General features: G+C 36.8%; 1 protein-coding gene and 1 non-coding gene across 5 annotated transcripts in view, besides 1 other annotated feature; one reads left to right on the top strand and one right to left on the bottom strand.

Moving 5' to 3' along the window:
• The window catches only part of FSHR (follicle stimulating hormone receptor), a 192,359-nt gene that overhangs the window by 84,791 nt on the left and 85,979 nt on the right, over positions 1 to 21,589 (top strand). For all 4 annotated transcript variants that reach the window (NM_181446.3, NM_000145.4, XM_011532733.3 and 1 more), the window contains exon 2: positions 1,435 to 1,506. In NM_181446.3, coding sequence (NP_852111.2) covers positions 1,435 to 1,506 — 72 coding nt within the window. The remainder of the gene's footprint in view (positions 1 to 1,434; positions 1,507 to 21,589) is intronic.
• Positions 6,363 to 6,878: an enhancer, noted in NCBI's record as "NANOG hESC enhancer chr2:49289986-49290501 (GRCh37/hg19 assembly coordinates)". NCBI's record gives its function as "activates a minimal SCP1, AML or CMV promoter by ChIP-STARR-seq in naive H9 embryonic stem cells {active_cell/tissue: H9 hESC(naive)}" and the evidence as "EXISTENCE:reporter gene assay evidence [ECO:0000049][PMID:30033119]".
• On the bottom strand, positions 10,067 to 10,122 carry MIR548BA (microRNA 548ba). The gene has a single exon (NR_107011.1). It is a non-coding gene; the product is annotated as a microRNA 548ba (primary transcript).

Below are 21,589 nucleotides of genomic sequence, written 5' to 3'. Positions count from 1 at the left end.
CAAAGGGTCACTTGTAACTTCAACCTCAAACCTAGAATTTTCAGAGGGCTCAATAAGCCATTTAATTCAGTCATTCAAATATTTATTGACTACCTATCATGTTAAGCACTGTTCTAGGCATTTGGTATACAATCATAACAAATCAGGCAAACATTTTTGCCCTCATGGAACTTGAATTCTAGTTAGGAGGAAGAAACAAACAAATGGATACACAAATAGATAAATGAAGATATAACATGTCAGAATTGCTATGAAGAAAAATTAAAGCAGCAGGAAAGAGGGTCTGGGCCAAGTTTGGGAGATTATCATTTTAAATAGATGGTTAGCGAAAGCTTCACTGAAATGGTAACATTTGAGCAAATGGGGGTCTGAGATAACAAGCCATGAGGATATCTGAGAGAGAAATGTTCCAAACAGAGAGAACCGCAAATGTGGAAACATTAAGCCAGAAGGAACCTGGCTTGTCCGAGGAATTTTTAGAGGATACCACGGCAAGACCAGGATGATCAAAGGGTAGTTGTCAAAACTGAGAATACAGGGTCTATGGAAATAAAGAAGAGAAAGCTCTTGTAGGGCACTGAAGGCCTTTGTAAACAACTTTGATTTTTCCCCTAGTGAGATGAGGAGCCATTGGAAGGAATTTTGAGGCAAGCGTGAGACAATTATTTCGAGCAGAAGAAAACGGCAAAAGCTGAAGTCAGCTGAGGTTAAGAGAAGACTTTTTTTAGATGAGATGAGAGACATTATGGCATGCTTTTATATCAGTAAGCAGAATCCAGGAAAGAAGGGGAAAAAGGTGAATGAAATGTGTCTAAGAAAGTGGAAAACTGTCATAGTGGTTACTGGGACTAGCAGAGAGGGAAACAGACCTAGTGTATATTGGAGAAGCTATTCTTAGGACCCTGGAGAGTTCACTCACAGTACCAGGAGAGAAGGCAATGTGTATAAAGCACAGGTACAGGCAGGTTGATCAGGCAGTGAGCCCTGAGAGGGTATAAGGACATTTTCTTCTATTGGTTTCATTTTCATCTTGGAATAGAAGGCAAGGTCAGCTGAGAATGACAATAAAGGAAGAGGTAATGGGGGTTGGAGTAGAGGAAGAGAACAGGCCTCACACAGGGCTGCAGAAGGCAACATACGGTAGTGGGAACAAGCAAGGTTCATATTCCATCTCTGTCATGTATCAGCCATGTGACCCTGGGTAAATTTTTTGTTCTCCCTAAACTCTAGTTTCCTTATGCAAAATGGAAAGACTAATAGTTTCAGTATCACTAGTTGTAGACAGGATGAAAAGAGAGAATGTAAAAGCAATTTCAACATTACTTTATGGCAAGCACTTAGTATATGGTAACTGTTTGCTGATATGAATACATTAGCAACTCAATTACTTATTAATGGATAGGTTGTGATATTTTATTTCTACTCTCTTTGCAGGAGGTTTGTCCTCACCAAGCTTCGAGTCATCCAAAAAGGTGCATTTTCAGGATTTGGGGACCTGGAGAAAATGTATGTACCTAGCACTGCTGTGAGTGAATGCCTCAAGGGGGCTATAGGGAGCAACCTCAGACCACATCTAGTATGACTATCTGCACTTAGTAGCCGAACTGACATGGTCAGCCAAACTTTCTGCATCTCCTCACATTTTACTGTGTTACCATGGTTCCTAAATGATAGTGTGGAGTCTTTCACTGAGGCCATTGAAATGAGCAAAAGAGCAATCCAAGCAATTTTCATCATTTCTCAAATAAGGGGTTGCTCCCAGAGTACCGGTGAATGGAATTTTCATAAACCAAAGCCTCTTCTTTTCTGCAGACATCCACTCTCTTTCAGAGATACTTTCTACCATTTATGATTAATTTTTAATTGACAGCAGGACTTAACATCTATGCTGTAGAGATTCTCTAGACTTCTTGTTTCCAAAGTATTCATGCAGGCAAGTAGTAATTGATATATAAGCATTTCAAAGTACTAGGAAAGTTTACAGCACTGATTAAGATTTCCTTTGAAAAGAGAAGCCTCTTTTGTTACTGCAAACATTCAGTTCACATTGCGCTAGTCTAATTTAGAGTTTTCCCAAGACATGGTTTTCTCAAAGTGGGGTGCAATAGTAAAAGAGCAAATCCTCCTATACTTAAAGTAATCCTCCCTCCCTTTGAAAGCTCTTGGTATCACCTCCTGGGCATTCAGGGCCAGGGAAATATGTTCTTCTCTGCAGTGAGACAGCCAGGATTCAGGACTTTAATGCCAGTAAGTATAGCAATGAATAGACAGAGTATATACAGAAGGGAATGAAAGCAAGGCAAGAAAGAAAACCTTTAGTTCATGTGTTTCTTTCTTGAAGTCATTAACTTTATCTTTTTGGTTCTTTTATATCCCTTTAAGAATAGTACTTCCTGAAGTCTGAAGAAGCAAGAAAGGAATCCAATAACAAAAGAATCACAAAGTATAGAAGATGTCATTATGTTCCAGCAATTAAGCCACCTGCTTAAAAGAGGGTGGTCAGAATCCTGGTTTCAGTGCTAGTTTTAATATAAAATTACTGCATAACCTCGATTAAAGCATTTTATCTTTCAGGGCCCTGGTTTCCTCATCTGTGTATTAAGAGAGGAGTTTTAAAAAGGGGCTTACGTGATTTCCAATTTCTATCTCCATGTTGCAGGAGAGCCCGATTTAAGACCTGTAATCTTCCGGGTTTACCTCATTGAGGACATTCAACTATCACAGGGATTAGAAGATGGGGATACTAAAGCTGAACAGAGTTCACAAAGGAAACCAGGGAGACAGTAGAGTGGGAGAGCTTTATGCTCAAGATGTATTCGCGATTCCCTTGCCTGGAGCTAACATAGACTAAATGACTACTGGATATCCCTGTGTCCCTAAACATCACTATAATTACATAGAATTCTAAAGACAGGCATTTCAGATGTCACAAATAAGCTACTTTAATCAAGTTTAATCCAGCAAGTGTGAATGACCCCTCATTGGGTATTCAGTATCAGGCAAACCTTCCTGTGGCAATACGAATGGTTGAGCTGAGCTGACATATCAACAATCCAAGAACCACAGCAGCTGGCTCAGTAACTCAACTTGTTCAGACACAGCTTGTACATTTTTACCTCATGTCTTCATTAATCATCCTGAACTGGCACAGCGATACACCAAAATAAAATTGATCTTGTTTTTTTACCCTTTTTATACCATAAGGCTTCAAAGCATTTTCTAGCAGAGGGCCCAGCACTGAACTGAACCTGAGGAGACTTGCGTATTCCTCAGTCTCCGTGCTCACCTTTGTCCATTGTCTTACCTTACACTCTTGGTCACCAAGAAATTCTCATCTCCTTTCCAGACCTATCTCCTTCACTTGTGTTCTTCCAGTTGTTAATCAGTTTCCTGAACTTAATAAATATTGGCCTTTTCTTCAGTATCTCCCCCTCCACAAATCACAAAGTCCTTTTCATTCATTCTGCACATGTGACCAACTTTCACCTATCCATGTTGGAAAGAATAAAAGAAAAGTATTCTGTATAAATTCCACCTTCCTATTCTGCTCCCTTCTTCTCTCTTCCCCATCAAGACCACTGTGTTGAAAGAGTTGCCTACATTCACTGCCTCTCTATCCTTTCTTTTCAATCGCTTCTTAGCCTGCCCACTTGCTATTTGGACAAAAATTCTTCAACACTATTAAATTATTCTATCAAAGATCTCAAAAATACCACAGTTACAAGATCCAGTGAATTCTACTTTATCCTCTTCTACTTACCTTATATGTAGTCTTTAAATTTCATTAACCATTAATGTCATTCTTCTCAATGCCCTTTCCCCACTTAACTTCTGGGATACCACACTCTCCTGCCTCCCTATTAACCTCCCAGATTGCTCCATATCCAGTTCTCTTCATCTCTCTTGTTCTTCAACTGCCCTTCAAAAATTTAGGTATTCTAGGGTTCTATTTTTTGGCCATTTTCTTTTCTTCTAGCTCCACCCTTGAATGACCAGTTGTCAGATAATGTCTTATTACCAGGGTTCCTAAACTTTCATCTGCAACCTCCACCTCTCTCCTGAGGCCATAATTCTTGTTTTGAATTGGAAAGATGCCTAAACATCTACATCTGAGTGAACTGCAAATACCTGGAATTCAACATATTCAGAACTAGCTTATCTTTATTTTTAAATTTCTCGTATTCCCATATTGCCCAGTGAATCATGTCACCATCTGCCCAGGTTCCCAAACAAGGAAAATCCAGTCTCCCTTGACTCAGGTGCATTCTCTATCCCTTATGCCAAGGTGCTCCTCCAGTCCTACTGACTGCCTCTCAGATGTACTCTGATATCCAGTCCTCTTCTCATTCCTGTTACTATTAGACCCAAAGTCTCATCATCACTTACATAACCTACTGTATGAAGCTTCCATGCCTATCCCAGCTCCAATCTTCCTGCCACTCTGCTGCCAGACTTGCACTGTTTAAATTCTCTTGCAGAAGAACTTCTAGGGATCTTCCTCGCTGCAGACTTAAGTCATAAGCTCCTGGCACAGAAATCAAAACCCTTTATTTCCCACCATATGCACTGTGTACCTTACACTCTCACCAGGTGGAATAATTTTCTATTCCCCAAGCACTATTATTACCAGACATCATATTGCATATTTAGAATGTGACAGCTTGTTCTTTGGACAATGTCTGGCACATAAAGGGATCAAAAATAATTGCAGGGGAATGAATCAACAAATAAACAAATGAACAAAATATACTTTCACACTGTTCTTATGTAGATGCTGTCCCTCTGTCTAAAATTTCACTTCATAAAATCCTGCTTCCCATTCAGGGACCAGATGAAATGCTTACTTTTCTACAGAACTTTTCCAGAACTTTCCAAGTTCTTCCAAACCATAACCCTGTATTCATAATATTAACAGCACATTTATCAGACTGTACTCAGAATTTACAGTTTCTCAGATCCCTTGGTTATTCATTAAAGCCAAGATCACAATGTAGAAACGTCGTACTGAAGTACAACACCAAGTCCTGTTGTTTTTACCTCGTTACACGTCTAACCTATCCACCCATCTCTTTCTCCAGCTACCACAATCTTTCCCTGGTATCTTAGTCCGTTTGTGCTGCTATAACAAAATACTGCAGACTAGATAATTTACAAGGAACAGAAATTTATTTTCTTACAGTTATGGAGACTTGAAACTCCAAAATCAAGTCTCCAGCATCTGGTGAGGGCTTTCTAGCTGAGTCCTCACATGGTGGAAGGTGGAAGGGCAAAAGGGGACAAACATGTCCCTACGTGGCAGAAGAGGAGAAGAGAGAGAACCCACTCCCAAAAGCCCTTTTTAATGGCAACACTAATCTCTTCATGGGGATGGGCCCTTGTGGTGTGGGCCCTAAACCACTCTCAAAAGGCCACATTTCCCAATGTTGGAGTGGAGATTGAGTTTTAACAGGAAATTTGGGGAGGAAAAAATATTTAAACCAGAGCACTTGTGTAACTGCAACAGCCTTCAACTTGTGCTGTCCCCATTTACCAGCATGCTCTTCCCTCTCCCTCATCCATTTTCAACATAGAGTAATATTTTCTAAATTCATAACTGATTATGTCATCTTCCATATTTGCCCCACCATGCATGTGCAAACACACACACACACACACACACACAAACTCTTCATGCCTTACCACTTTTTTTGTTCTTGTTCCACAGTTTTTTCTTTTTTATTATTTTTTAATTGACACATAATTGTGCATATTTATAATAATTGTAACACATAATAACTGTAAAATAATTGAGTATAGTGTACTATTTTGATACATATATACATTGGGTAATGATCAAATCAGGGTAATTAACATATCTCACACCTCATATATTTATCATTTCTTTGTTTTGGAAACATTCAAAATCTGCTCTTCTACATATTTGAAAATACACAGCAAATTGTTGTTAATTATAGTTGCCCTACAGTGCTATAGAACAGTAGAACTTATTCCTCCTATTTTGCTGTACTTTTATATCTATTAACCAATCTTTTGGTATCCTCTCTCCCACATAGACTTCCCTGCCTCCAATAACCACTATTCTACTCTCTGCTTCTTTGAAGTCAGACTTTTTTAGCTTCCACATATGAGTGAGAACATGCAGTATTTCCCTTTCTGTGCCTAACTTATTTCACTTAACATAATATCCTCCAAGATTATCTATGTTGCTGTGAATGATAGAATTTTGCTCCCTTTCATCACTAAATAGTATTCCATTGTGAGTGTGTGTCACATACATATATATATATATATAGCATTTTCTTTATTCATTTCTTTATTTGTGAACGTGTAAGTTGGTTCTATACCTTGGCTATTTATAGTGCTACAATAAACATCAGAGTGCAAATAGGTCTTTGACATATTTACAGCACTGATGAAGATTTCCTTTGAAAAGAGAAGAATCCTTTGTTACTGCAAACACTCAGTTCATATTAAGCTGGTTTAATTTAGGGTTTTTCCAAAATATGATTTTCTCAAGCCAGGGTACAGTGGCAGAAGACAGAGCAAATCCTCCCACACTTAAATTAATCCTCCCTCCCTTTGAAAGCTCTTGGTACCACCTCCTGGGCATTTAGGGCCTCTCCTTGCATTTGAATACATACCCATTAGTAAAATTGCTGGATCATATGGAAGCTCTACATTTAGTTTTTAGAGGAATCTCATACTCATACTATTTTAAATAATGGCTGTACTAACTTCTATTCCCACCAACAGTGTAGAGGAGTTCCCCTATCTCTACATCCTTGCCAGTATTTGTTTATGTTTTTGGTTTTGGGTGGGTTTCTGTTGTTTTTTTTATAATATCCATTTTCACTGGGGTAAGATGAGACCTTATCATGGTTTGATTTGCATTTTTCTGATAATTAGTGATGTTGAACAGTTTTTTCATATGCCTATTGACCATTTGTATGTCTTCTTTTGAGAGATGTCTATTTGACCCATATGATCATTTTTAAATTTGATTATTAATTTTGCTGTTGAGTTGTTTGAATTCCTTGTATATTCTGGATACTAATCCTTTGATGAGTAGTTTCCAAATATTTTCTCCCATTCTGAAGGTTGGCTCTTCACTCGGTTGTTTCCTTTGCTCTACAGATGCTTTTTAATTTAACATAATGCCATTTGTCTGTTTTTCCTTTTATTTCCTGTGCTTTTGAGGTCTTCTCCATAAAAATCTTCACACAGATCAATTTTCTGAAGAATTTCCCAATGTTTTCTTCCAGAAGTTTTATATAGTTTCAGATCTTACATTTTAGTCTTTAATCCATTTTGAGTTGACTTTTGTATATGGTGAAATATAGATATCCAGTTTCCTTTTCTGCATGTGAATATCCAGTTGTCCCAGCACAACTCATTGAAGAGATTTTCCTTTCCCCAATGAACGTTCTCAATGTCTTTGTTGAAAATCACTTCACTATAAATATGTAGGTTTATTTCTTTTCTGTGCCACCTGCATATGGTTTGGTTTTTATGACCATAGCACGTTGTTTGGATTACTATAGCTTTGTAGTATATTTTTAAGTCCTGTACTGTGATGCCTTCAGCTTTATTCTTTTTGCTCAGGGTTGCTGAAGATGTATATTCTGCAGCTGTTGGATGAAACGTTCTGTAAATGTCTGCTAAGTCCATTTGGTCTGAATTGCAATTTAAATTTAATGTTCATAATGTTGATTTTCTGTCCAGATGATCTCTCCAGTGCTGACAGTGGGGCATTGAAGTCCCCAACTATTACTGTATTAGAGGCTATCTCTTCCTTTAGGATTAATAACATTTGCTTTATGCATCTGAGTGCTCCAGGTTTGGAGATAAATATATATATATAAATATATTATATTTATATTTATATTTATATAAACATATATAGTTATATATGACTATATATAACTATATAGTTATATATGAATATATAGAGTTATATATAGTTATATATAAATAGTTATATATAAATAGCTATATATTTTTATATATAGTTATATATAATATATATAAATATAAATATATAGTTATATATAGTTATAAATATATAGTTATATATAGTTATATATATTATAGATATATGTATTTTTATATATCTAAATATATATACATTTAGATATATAGATATATATCTAAATATGTATATTTATATGTATATATGTATTTATTTTTATATATCTAAATATATATATATTTAGAATCATATCCTCTTCCTGAATTGATCCCTTTATCATTATATAATGTCCCTTTTTGTCTCTTTTTACAGTTTTTGACCCATAGTTTCCTTTATCTGATGTAATCATGATAGCTACTCCTGGTCAGTTTTGATTTCCTTTTGCTCAGAATCACTTTTATCCATCCCTTCACTTTCAGTTTATATTTGTCTTTACAGGTGAGAGGTGTGCTTCATATCAGCAGCATATACTTAGATGCTCACAGCAGCTATGGGGGCAGGGTCCCAGGCTTATGGTCTTGCATACCTGTTATGGCACCTGGGTCTTGAGGTGCAAGTTTGCTCTCCTTGGCAGGATTAGATGTAGGTTTCCCATGAAGCCAAGATTTGTGACTCTGAGGCACCCCCTAGCAGCTTGGGTTCAAGGTGCCACGTTGTAGTGGTGATTATGCCCCTGAGGAGCAAGGTACAGTACTACCTTGATCCCTCAGAAGAAGGGGTAATCTGGAGGTATGGGCAGGGGGAGAAAGGTATGGATGCAATTTGAGAACCTGAGCCAAATATACCCAGTGGCATCTCCCAGGAGATGAGGCACTTTGCAGTAGTGACCATAGACCCTGGAATGGTGGGGCTTAGCAGCATTCTAGACTCTTTACAGCCATGTGTAGCAACAGCAAGTATCCCAGAATGGCAAAGCACAGCTCTAGTTTGGGCCGGGGGGGAGTGGGTACATGGATGACTGCACTCCCCAGGGAGAGAGGTATCTCAGAAGCCCAGAATAGGGAACTAGTCCGGCTCCAGGGAAGCAAGGTACTAGAGGTATTTGGCATATAGGGTGGAGTATTTCAGTTCAGCCACTTCTCTCTTGCCTGGGCGGCAGGATACTATAACAGCTCAGCCTTGGAATATGCAGCTGTTCAGCTTGGCCAGGGCATTGACTTCCCAGGGGCAATGTGCCACTTCAGCTCAGGCCTGTGGGATGTGACTGTTCTAGGCAGCCCAAGCCCCATTTCCCTGGAATGCAGAGTGTCACATCAGCTTAGGTACTGGGGTGTGTGACCACCCTGGCTGGTCAAGGCATCATTTCCTGGGATGCAGGGCACAGTTTCAACTTAGGCACTGGAGAGGCATGACTTCTCTGAGTGGTCAAGGTAATGTTTTCCCAGGATACTGAGTTTTTGTTTTTGTTTTTTTTTCCTTTTGCTAATACCTAATGGGATCATATGGTAGTTGTATTTGCAGTGTTTTGAATAACCTTTTTATACTGTTTTCCATAGTGGCTTTACTGTTTATAGTCCCACGAACAATATGTAAGGGTACCTTTTTCTCTGCATCCTCACCGGTATTTTTTTCGTTTAATAACCATCCCAAATGGTGTGAGATGATACCTCATTATGGTTTGATTTGCATTTCTCTGATGATTAGTGATGTGGAGCATTTTTCCATATATGTGTTGGCCATTTATATGTCTTCTTTTCAGAAATATCTGTTCAGATCACTTGCTTATATTTTAATCAAATTTTTTTGGTATTTTTTTGTTTGAGTTTCTTATATATTCTGGATATTAATGCCCTGTCAAATGAGTACTTGGCAAACATATTCTCCCATTCTGTGGTTGTCTTTTCACTATATTGATTGTTTCATTGGCTCTGCAGCTTTTTGGTTTGATATAATCCCCTTTATTTTTGATTTTGTTTCCTGTGCTTTTGATGTCTTATTCATGAAATCTTTTCCGAAACCAAAGTCCTCAAGCACTTCCTCCATGTTTTCTTCTTGCAGTTTTATCATTTTTGGACGTATATTTAGGAATTTGATCCATGTTGAGTTGATTTTTGTATAGAATGAGAGGTGAAAGGGGGCATCTGTTAGGTTGATATAAAAGTAATTGCAGTTTTTGCCATTACTTTCTAATAGCAAAAATCACAGTTACCTTTGCACCAGCCTAATAGTATCAGTCTTCTACATGTGGATATCCAGTTTTCCCAGCATCATTTATGAAACCGTCCTTTCTCCAGTGAATGTTCTTGGCACCTTTGTCAAAAATCAGTTGGCTATAGATACGTGCATTAATTTACGGATTCTCTATTCTGTTCCATTGGTCTATTTGTCTGTTTTTTTTTTCCCCCAGTACCATGCTGTTTTGGTTACTATAACTTTGTATTATATTTTGAAGTCTGGTAGTTTGATGCTGCCAACTTTGTTCTTTTTTGATTAGGCTTACTTTGGCCATGCAGGATGTTTTGTGGTTCCGTACAAATTTAAATTTTTTTTTCTACTTCTGTGAATGACGGCATTGTTGTTGGCTGTTTTATTTTATTATTATTTTTTTAATTTTTAGAGACAAGGTCTTAGTCAGGCAGGAGTGTGATCATGGCTCAGTTATGGCTCACTGCAGCCTCAAACTCCTGGGCTCAAGTAATCTTCCTACCTTAGCCTCCCAAGTAGCTAGTACTACAGGCATGTGCCACCATACTCAGCTATTTTTTTATTTTCTTGCATAGATGGGGATTATGTTGCCCAGGCTGCTCTTGAACTCCTGGACTCAAGGGATCATTCTGCCCCAATCACCCAAAGTGCTGGAGTTACAAGTGTGGGCCACTGTGCCTAGAACTGCATTGGTATTTTGATAGTAATTGCATTGAATCTTTAGATTGCTTTAGTTAGTAAGGTCATTTTAACAATACTGATTATTCACATCCATGAGCTTGGGATGTTTTTCCATTGGTTTGTATCCTTTTCAATTTACCTCATTAGTGTTTTGTGGTTTTCCCTGTAGAGGCCTTTTTCCACTTGAGTTAAATTTATTCATAGGGTTTTGTTTTGTTTTGTAGTTTTTGTAAATGGAATGGGCTTCTTTATTTTTTTTTCAGGTAGTTTATTGCTAGTGGATAGAAATGCTACTGATTTTTGTTGGTTGATTTTGTATCTTTCAACTTTACTGAATTTGTTTAACAGTTCTTAAAGGTTTTTTTTAGGTGGGGAGGAGGGTGTTGAAACAGAGTCTTGCTCTGTCACCAAGCTGGAGTGCAGTGGCTCGATCTCTGCTCACTGCAACCTCTGCCTCCCGGTTCCAGCGATTCCCCTGCCTCAGCCTCCCAAGTAGCTGGGACTACAGGCATGCACCACCATGCCTGGCTAATTTTTTGTATTTTAGTAGAGACAGGGTTTCACCATGTTGGCCAGGATGTTCTCAATCTCCTGACCTCGTGATCCACCTGCCTCAGCCTCCCAATGTGCTGGGATTACAGGCATGAGCCACTGCACCTGGCCAGTTTTTCCATGTATAATATGTCATTTAAAAACAGGGACAATTTGACTTCCTCTTTTCAAATTTGGATGCCCTTCATTTCTTCCTCTTGCCCAATTGCTCTTGTTTGAACTTTCAATACTATGTTACATAAGAGTGGTGATGGTGGGAATTATTGTAACATTCCAGTTGTTAGAGAAAAAGCTTTCAGCTTTTCCTCAATCCACATGATATTAGCTGAAGGTATGTCATATATGGCCTTTATTGAGTTGCGGTACTTTCCTTCTATACCTAATTTATTGAGAGTTTTTATCATGAAAGCATGTTGAATTTTACCAAATGCTTTTTCTATATTGACATGGTCATATGAATTTTGTCCTTCATTCTGTTGCTTTAATGTATCATGTTTACTAATTTGCATATGTTAAAACATTCTTGCATTTCTCAGATAAATCCCACTTAATTCTCATATATTATTTCTTTGATGTCTTATTGGTTTTGGATTGCTAGTATTTTATTATGGATTCTGCAACTATCTTCATCAGGGATATTGGCCTACGTTTTCTTTTTTTTGCTATGTCCTTGTCTGGTATCTGAGCAATGCTGGCCTATGAGAATGAGTTAGAAAGAGTTCCTTCTGCTTCAATTTTCAGAATCATTTGAGAAGAATTGGTATTAATTATTTTTCAAAGGTTCTGTAGAATTCAGCAGTGAAGCCATCTGGTCCTGGGCTTTTCTTTGTTGGGAGATTTTCAATTACCTGTTCAAACTTGTCACTTATTATTGGTCTATTCAGATTTTCTATTTATTCTTGGTTCAATCTTGGTGGGTTGTATTTGTCTAGGACTTTATCCAGGTTTTCAAATTTATTGGTGTATACTTGTTCATAGCAATCTTTAATGATCCTTTGTATTTTTTTAGTAAACATTGTAATGTTACTACTACTGCTACTGTCATTGTGTATGTTTTTCATTTCTGATTTTATTTATTTGGTTATTCTCCCATTTTTTCTTAGTCTAGCTAATGGTTTGTTCATTTGGCTTATCATTTCAGAAAAGCAACTTTTTATTTCATTGATCTCTTGTGTTATTATTTTAGTGTTAATTTCATTTATTTCTGCTCTGATATTTATTATTTTTGTCTTCTACTAATTTTTGGTTTGGTTTGTTCTTCCTTTTTTAGTTCCTTGAGTTGCAGTGTTAATTGGTTTATTTGAGGCTGGGAAATCTTTCTTGTTTTTTCATATAGGGGTTTACTGATATAAACTTGCCTCTTAATTCTGCTTTTGCTCATCCCATAGGTTTTGGTATTTTGTGTTTTCATTTTCATTTAAGAAAGATTTAAATTTTATTCTTAATTTCCTCTTTACCCATTGATTATTCAGAAATGTGCTGTTTAATTTCCATGTAGTGTATGCTTTCAAATGTTTCTCTTGTTATTGATTTCTAGGTTTATTCCATTATGGTATTATAGGGTACTTGACATAATTTTGATATTTTTAAAATTTTTTTGAGACTTGTTTATTGTCCTAACAGAAACAATATGGCCAATTCTGAAAAGTATTTCATTTGCTGATGATGAGAATTTGTATCCTGCAGCTGGTGGATGAAATGTTCTGTAAGTGTCTGTTTGGTCTGTGGTGCAGTTTAAATCCAATGTTTCTTTGTTGATTTTCACTCTAAACAATCTGTCTAATGCTGAGAGTAGGGTGTTGAAGTCTCCAACTACTAATGTATTGCGGTCTATCTCTCCCTTTAGGTCTAATAATATTTGCTTTTTATATCTGTGTGCTCTGGTGTTGGATATATATATATATATATATATATATATATATATATATATATTCCAATTGTAATGATTTCTTGCTGAATTGATCCCTTTATTATTTTATAATGTTAATTTGTGTCTCTTTTTACATCTTTTAACTTAAGTCTGTTTTTCTGATGTAAGTATAGCTATTCCTGCTCACTTTAGGGTTTTGTTTATAAGGATTATCTTTTTTCAATCCTTTCAATTTCAGTCTATGTGTCTTTACAGGTAAAGTAAGTTTCTTGTAGGCAGCATATATTTGGGTCTTTTAAAAAAATCTATTTCACCAGTCTATATGTTTTAAATGGGAAATTTAATCTATTTACATTCAAGATTATTATTAATAGGTGAGGACTTACTCTTGCAATTAATTGTTATCTGCTTGTTTTGTATATCCTTTGTTTCTTACTTCCTCTCTTATTTTTAATTATTGCAATTAGGTGGTTTTCTGTAGTGATAGGCTTGATTCCTTTCTCTTTGTCCTTTGTGTATCAAGTCTAACAGTGAGTTTTAGAGTTTTGCATGTTGTCATGATGTTGGTTTCAGTCTTTTTACTTCCAGATGTAATACTCCTTTAAGCATTTCTTGTTTGGCAGGTCTAGTTGTGATCAATTCCCTTATTTTTTTCTTGTCCATGAAATGTTATATTTCTCCTTCATTTCTGAAATGTAGCTTTGCTGGGTATAGTATTCTTGTCTCGCAGCTTTTTCTTTTAGTACTTTGAATATATCATCCTATTCTCCCCTGGCCTGTAATGTTTGTGCTAAGAAATCTACTCTTCATCCAATGTGGATTTTTTAATATGTGACTTGAGGCTTTTCTCTTCCTGTTTTTAGAAGTTTGCCTTTTTCTTTGACTTTTGACTATTTGACTGTAATGTGCCTTGGAAAGAACTTTTGGGATTGACCCTATTTGGGTTTTTTTTTTTTTTTTTTTTTTTTTTTTTTTTGAGCTTCCTGGATCTGGATGTTCATCTCTCTCCCAATACTTGGGAAATTTTCAGCTATTATTTTATTAAATATGCTTTCTATGCCTTTTCCTTTCTCTTCTCCTTCTGAAATTCCTATAATATGAATATTTATTTGGTTAACTATGCCTCATAAATTTTGTAGACTTTCTTCATTATTTTTTATTATTTATTTATTGTGCCTGTGTTCTTTCAAAAGACCTGTCTTCAAGTTCAGGTATTTTTTCTTCTGCTTGGTCAATCTGTTGTTGAAGCTCTCAGCTGGTTCCTTTTATATTTTATTAATTGATTTTTTAAGCTGTAAGATTTCTGTTTGGCTCTTTTTTTGTGATATCTCTTTGCCACTTTTCTCACTCAAGTTATGAGTTGTTTTCCTGATTTGATTAAATTGTCTATCTGTATTCTCTTGTATCTCACTGAGTTTCCTTAATTATTATTTTCAATTCTTTTTCTGGCATTTTATATATTTCTTTATAATTAGGGTCTGTGACTGGAGAGTCACTGTGTTCCTTTAAGGTGTCATGTTTCCTTGCTTTTTCATCTTTGATGTATCCCTACATTGATTTTTATGCATCTGGTCAAACAGTCACCTGTTCCAATTTTATGAAGTAGGTTTTATAAGAAAAGACATTCATTTGGATGAGTCTTGGGGTGTTGTTTTGGTGAGGTGCTTTGACTTTTGTTCTAGGTGGATACAATAGTGTAGTATCTGTGTCATTTCTTTTTCTGTAATCCATGCTAGTAATGTTTGCGAGTGTCTCAGCAGCCTAAGCTGAGAGAGTCTGCAGTTGTTGTGCTGTGGCTTTACTAGGGGTGGGCTTGCTAGACTGTCTGTCAGGTCACAGGTACATGTGTGCACACAGTGCGTTGGCCAACTCAGGGTCTGGCTCACTGGGGTTGGGGCCATGTGGCTATTACTTTGATCAGAGGCATGGGTGCATGGTTGCTCCACTGGCTTGAAAGCATGTCTACCTGGGGCTATCTCTCAGGCCCAGATGTAGGCACATAGCTACTTGGCTGGCCTGGGGGTATGTCTGCTTGGGGTGGCCCACAGGGATGTTTTGCAGGCCTTGGACATGGTTGGATGGCCTACTGGCTGATGTGGGTTCGTGTGTCTTCTTTGGGTGGATTCTGGGGCTGTTTCTTAGATTCAGGATGTGGGTGCAAGGTTGCTTAGCCAGCTTGGAGGCATGTCTGCCAGCAGCAACCTGTGGGCTATTTCTTAGGCCAAGACATGGGCACACAGCTAGTAGGTTGGCCTGGGGGCATACCTCCTGGGGTCCACCCACAGAGCTACATTCAACCCTTTTTCATCCCCCCAGTTGCACAGGAGATAGGTAACATCATTAGTGCTATGTTATAGATAAGAAAACAGGCTTAAACAGATCAAATTCTCTGTCCAAGGTAACACAATGGGTAAGCAATAGAAAAAAGATATTGCAGAATGTACCTCACTTACATGGAACTAGACTAATCTGGGGAGATGCTGAGTTCACACATCTTTATTTTCTTCTCTCTTTAGATCTGTCTCTATGTTGTACAAGTGTTTCAACTTCTCTAATACTAATCTCCCTAATCTGGAAAATGTTAATACTAAGGTCTATGTCATAGAGTTGTCAAGGCCCTTAATACTCAATCTCAGTATCTGAAACAACATGGGCATTTGATGAGTTTATTTCTTACTCCCATCCTCTTGTTAAAATGATTGGGAAAAATTCCCCAACCCTTGCTGATGATTCTTCCTCATTTATTATCCCAGTTTAACCCAGCCTCCTCTACTTCTATCAGAAGTCAACAGGGAAAGGACTGTTTTTTTTCTTTTTTTTAAGAACCAGGAATAGAAGTTTGTGCATTAGAAATGAAATGGCCACTGTTCATGCCTTAGCTTTTATCTGCATCACTATCTCAAACCTCCCTATTCTTCATTGCTTTGAGACTTTGTGGGGGGAAAAAAGAAATCATTAAACTCTCTGCAACATGAAGTGGCTTTGCAAAGTGCACTGTAAACTGTTTACATTGTCTTTAATTACTTCGGAGCCATATGTCAGCTTGGTATAAAGTGTGAAGATTACATTGAATAGGGTGGGGGGAGTAGGTGACAATGTGGTGATTTATGGTAACCAGAAAAATTATGTATGGAAATGAGTTCAATTTAAAAACACATCTATGTGTTATTATAACACTGGAGGTGGGGGGAAAGCTAGTTTATAACAAAATATCTTTGGAAATAGGAGCATGATGAATATGCAAATGAGACCAATCAACATCAGCTGAAATATGGTATATGCAGATGAGGCGGCAATAAGCCAAAATGTGAAATAGCTCCCAAACCATAAATATGAACCACATAAAATTCATTTGAAATATTCATGATAACATAAGGACAAAAAATATAATCAAGTGATTTATTTGCATATAGAAATGAGAACACTAGTCTGACACTCCAGCCTCCACCCCCAGATCACTGGGGAAAGAAAAGTTAACTTAACAGAGGGACTTTTAGAGAAAGAGATTTATTGAATGAGAATTGTTGCAAACACATTAAAAAAGTTGAGGATCCTCCCAATTCTCAGTTCTTCAGGCTCACTCAGCACAGATAAAAGGAAAGGAAGTAAATCAGGTAACCAGAACTGTAACTGCAACAGTGCTAGAAAATTTGGGTTCCACTCAGCTTTGCCCTTCAGAGCACCCCCTTGTTACATGACTTAAGTTCCTTCCTAACCCAACCTTCTGTGATTCTGAGAGTTAATGGTCAAAGCAGCCTTGAGTCCCGCTTACTCAAAGCGAAAAGGAGAGGCTGATGATTCTACTGGCTCCTGGTGAAAAATGAAAGGCCAGTGTTAGACTGGTTAGATCTCTGAATGGGAAGAGGGGATTTGAGTCCCTGGGAATAACAAGGAAATGACGTTGAGTGGTTCTCTTCTTAGACTGCACTTTAGAATCCCCTGGAGAACTTTAAAAATAATGTACACACCCAAGTATCACTTCCAGATATTTTTATTCCATTTTTCCAGGACGAGGTCTAAGCATTAATCATTTTTTAAAGCTCCCTTGATGATTCTAATGTACATCTAAAATTGAAAGCCACTGAGGTAGATGATAGTTTAGTCAGAATCCAATTTGTACAAAGAACATTCATGAGTATGTAAAGTGTATCATCTACATGTTGTAGCTAAAGAAGAATAAAACAAAGAGGAGGTTGGCAGGACATAAGATCAAAGAGGAAGCTGGGAGTGAGGTCATATTAGTACCTGATAGACCATGGGGATGTATTTGGGTGTCATATTTAGTGTGATTGGGATTAAATGGGGTGTTTTGAGCAACAAAGTGACATAATCTGATTTGCATTTGTTAAAAATTGTCCATACACACAAATTTTGATTTGCTAATATTTTGTTTAAAATGTTTTATCTATATTTGTAGCAATATTAGTCTGTATATTTATTTTCTTGTCGTTTCTTTGTTTGATTTTGTTCTACCTGTATTATAAAATGAGTTGGGAAATGTTCTCTCATCATCTATATCCCAAAAGTGTTTGTTTTCTAGAATTCAATACGGAAAGAATAGTTTTTTTCCACAAATGATGCTGAATCAACTTTGTATCCATATTGGAAAAACAATAAATCCCAACCCTTACCTCATGTTATACACAAAATTTAACTTTAAGTGGATAATTGACTTAAACGCAAAAACTAAAATTTTAAAACTGTTAGGAGAAAAATATTTTACAATCAGGGGATAGGCAAAGATTCCTTAAGTAGAACACATTAAGCATAAAATAAAAGTGTTATTTTGGACTTCATTAAAAGAAAAAACTTCTGCTTTTCAAAAGACAATAAAAAAAGTAAAAAAAGACACCATCAAGAAAATGACAACCAAATCACATAATGAGAGAAAATATCTGCAATACATATATCTGAAAAAGGACTTGTATCAAGAACATATCTTTCTATATATAAAGAAGTAAAAAATAAGTAGACACACAATCTAATTTAAAATGGGCAAAATATCTGAACAGATACTTCACAAAAAAAGATACACGAATCGGCAATAAGCATACGAAAAGATGCTCATCATTAGTCATTAGCAAAATGCAATTTAAAACCATAATGAAATACTATTACATACCCATTAAAATGGCCAAAATTAAAAGCTGATAATAGTAGGTTACTGGTGAGGCTGTGAAGCAACTGGAACTCTCCTACATGTTTGGTGAGAATTTAAAATTGTACAACCTCTTTGGTAAACAGTTTGTCAGTTTCTTATATTGACCCAAGAGAAATAAATACATATATTTCTACACAGAGACTGCAAGAATGTTCATAACAGATTTATTCATAATAGCCCCAAACAGAAAATCACTCAAATGTCCATCAGCAGGCCAATGGGTAAACAAATGGTATGATATCCACACAATTTAATACTAAGCAGTAATAAAAAAGAATACACTGCTAATATGTAAAACAACATGGATAAATCTCTCAAAAGCATTATAGTAAGCAAAGAAGCCAGACACAGAAGGTATACCATATGATTCTATTTATATGAACCTCAAAAAAGAAGAAAATCTAATCTATGGTAACAGAAAGATTAGTTGCCTGGTTCCCAGGGTGGTGTTAGGGATTGTCTGGGAAGGCAGACAAGGAAACTTTTTTAACGTGGTGAAGATATTTTATATCTTGATTGTGGTAGTAGTAACAGGTGGAAGAGTTAAAATGAATGCATTTTATTATTTGTCAAATTATACTTCAACAAAGTTGATTTTTAAAATCAGCAATTATTCCACACCTATTCTGGGACAGGTGTTTTAAATACTACATCTCAGTTAACTCACACTGTATAGACAGGGATACTGACATTCACAAAAGGTAAGAAACCAAGCAACATCAGAGTATCCTTATGTGGTGAAGCTAGGATTTAAACCCAAGGTAGTCTGGTCCTTTCTGCTACACAAGGCTTCTTTTAGTTGGAATCTACCATTTTCCCACATGTTCCTGCTAAGGTAAAAGAGGGATTGACAGGAAAATTAAAGCTATTAGCTTCCTTTGGTGACATTTATTATCAGAGGAGAGGATGTCTGTGCCTAAGCCCTTGGAACTGCCACAAACCAGAACCTAGAGTGATTCTCTACTCCTATAGTCACAGAGTGAAGGAAACCTCTTCTTGGAGCTATTTTCCTTTCAAGTTTCAGCTTGCAAACTCATTTCTGGGTAAAGCTCCTGCTAAGAGTAGCTTTAGTACAAGGGTTTGCAAACTGAGCTTGCTGTTAAGTTGCAAATTAACTTAGCCATCAGTTGGGAAATATAAGATTTGGGCCAATTAAGCAGTTATTATTGACCCAGGTCAAACGTGAGTTAGTGTCTAGAAGGTGAAAATCCTTATGTCATTTCCTATTCTCCATAAATATTCTGAAAATAACTATTTTTGTTATATTTATTGCTTCAACCAAGAACACAAGAAGCTATTTTCTTGTCACTTTTTGGGTTGATGTGGTTTTAGTGTTTCCATTAAGTCTCCCTATTTTTAACTTGCTAGGTGTGTCCTTAAAATAAACTCTACAGTATCTAAGAACTGCCCAGATCAGAAGGGGAATAATTTATTAGCTTTGTATTTATATGTTTGGAATTTTTGCTTCTTTCTTTTATTTGGGTTTGGTTTTTATTATATATATATATATATATATATATATTAGAGTAGGGGCTATATGAGTCTGATAAAGAAAGCAGAGTTCTTGAGATCTGTAATTTTATAGATGTTCCCAACCTTATACTCATAATAACTCTTCACACCTCAGTCACTTACGCTTTATCCATGAGGTTAGAGTGGGATTTCCTTGGCTGAAAGGGATTACAACGAAGAAAATACAGTAAGAATACAGGCAGGAGGCCCACTGTGAGCTAATAAGCTTATAGTAATAAAGATGTATGTCATAGATGCTCCCTTGCTTGGTAGAGCACAGATATGCCCTCATTTACATCTCTCATCTCTAATATCCCCCACCCTCTTGGCCATTTGATACTCCAAGCATTCATGGTCCTGATGACTTCTGCTTGGTACCTCTCATTGAGCAACTAAGACTTCCAGGTGCTAAGATATGACAGAGGTTACTCAAGGCATTTCTGACTTGCTATCAAACGCAATCTTCTTCCATTTTCTAATCAACAGCCAAGTGAGGTCATCTTATCTATCTTTTACAACTTCTGCTTCAGCAACACTTTCCCTTTGGACTCTCCTTGACAAAGCAAGCTGTGTGTGAGACCTTCCAGTGAATTATATTTGTCAGTGCTCAGAGATATACCAGAAAATGAATTGGCCTTTTTTTTTTCCTCCTTGCTGGTAACTCAATGTTTTTGTCTATCCAGTGAAGATACAATTAAGGCAGCATAATACTCGAGTTAAAAATATCCTTGTGGCTCTGCTCTGGGGATTTTTCTAGCTTTTTTTTTTAATAGATGGTGTTAAAATAAAAAGAAGCAATCTAAAGGTAAGCTGCAATCAATGCATGAACTATTTATTTTTATTTCCTCATTTAGCCCATGCCCATCACAACCACATCCATCTGGGCTGTGTATGACTTAATAAGATGCTTTAAACAGTAAAAGATTCAAATAGAATATGGACCCTCTTGCCTGTCCACCTTCCAACAAATAAATTACCTGAATCTTACACTTCATAAACCTCCCCTGCAGTGCTCAGATTCACCCTGGCCAGCCTACACAGCAATCAAATGACCAAAGATGTGTTTTTATATATAACCATTCCAGAAGTTAAGCAGGCAGAGAGGAAAAGTCCAGGAGCTAGGGGTAAATGCTAGAGAAGCCTAAATGAATGAAGCAGAAGTTAGCCATCCCAGTGGGTCTGAGGTTCTGAGAGAGTCTGGGCAGAGAGATAGCAATTGTTTATGCCAAATGTTTTATAAACACGTAATATGCACTTGGACGTGAGCATGCTTTGAAAAGTTAAAAGTGAGTGCAAATGCAAGGTATGAATAATAAGGACAGCATGTTTGCTCTGTTTCCCATTTATAGTGTCTCAGCTTGACTGACTACACGCTGACTACTAATCCTGCCCTTTCCCTCTTCCCATATTCCTCGAAAGCACCTAGCACAGAGTTAGGCACACTGGAATGATAATGGCAGGTGATGTTTATTAATTTGCAGTCTCTACCTCTTGATTCCTTTCCCAACTTTTCAGAGCCCCAGGTTTTTTTTCTATAAGAAAACCACTTTTTATTTATTTTACTTTTTTTTTATCATCCTCAACTTTTTCTTTCCAGTCTTCTTGAGGTATGATTGACATATAAAAATTGTATCAATTTAAGCTATACAGGCTGGCCACGATGGCTCACATCTGTAATCCCAGCATTTTGGGAGGCTGT

Source organism: Homo sapiens, chromosome 2 (assembly GCF_000001405.40).
Source record: "Homo sapiens chromosome 2, GRCh38.p14 Primary Assembly".
Classification (NCBI taxonomy): domain Eukaryota; kingdom Metazoa; phylum Chordata; class Mammalia; order Primates; family Hominidae; genus Homo; species Homo sapiens.
This window is presented reverse-complemented; position numbering and strand designations above follow the sequence as displayed.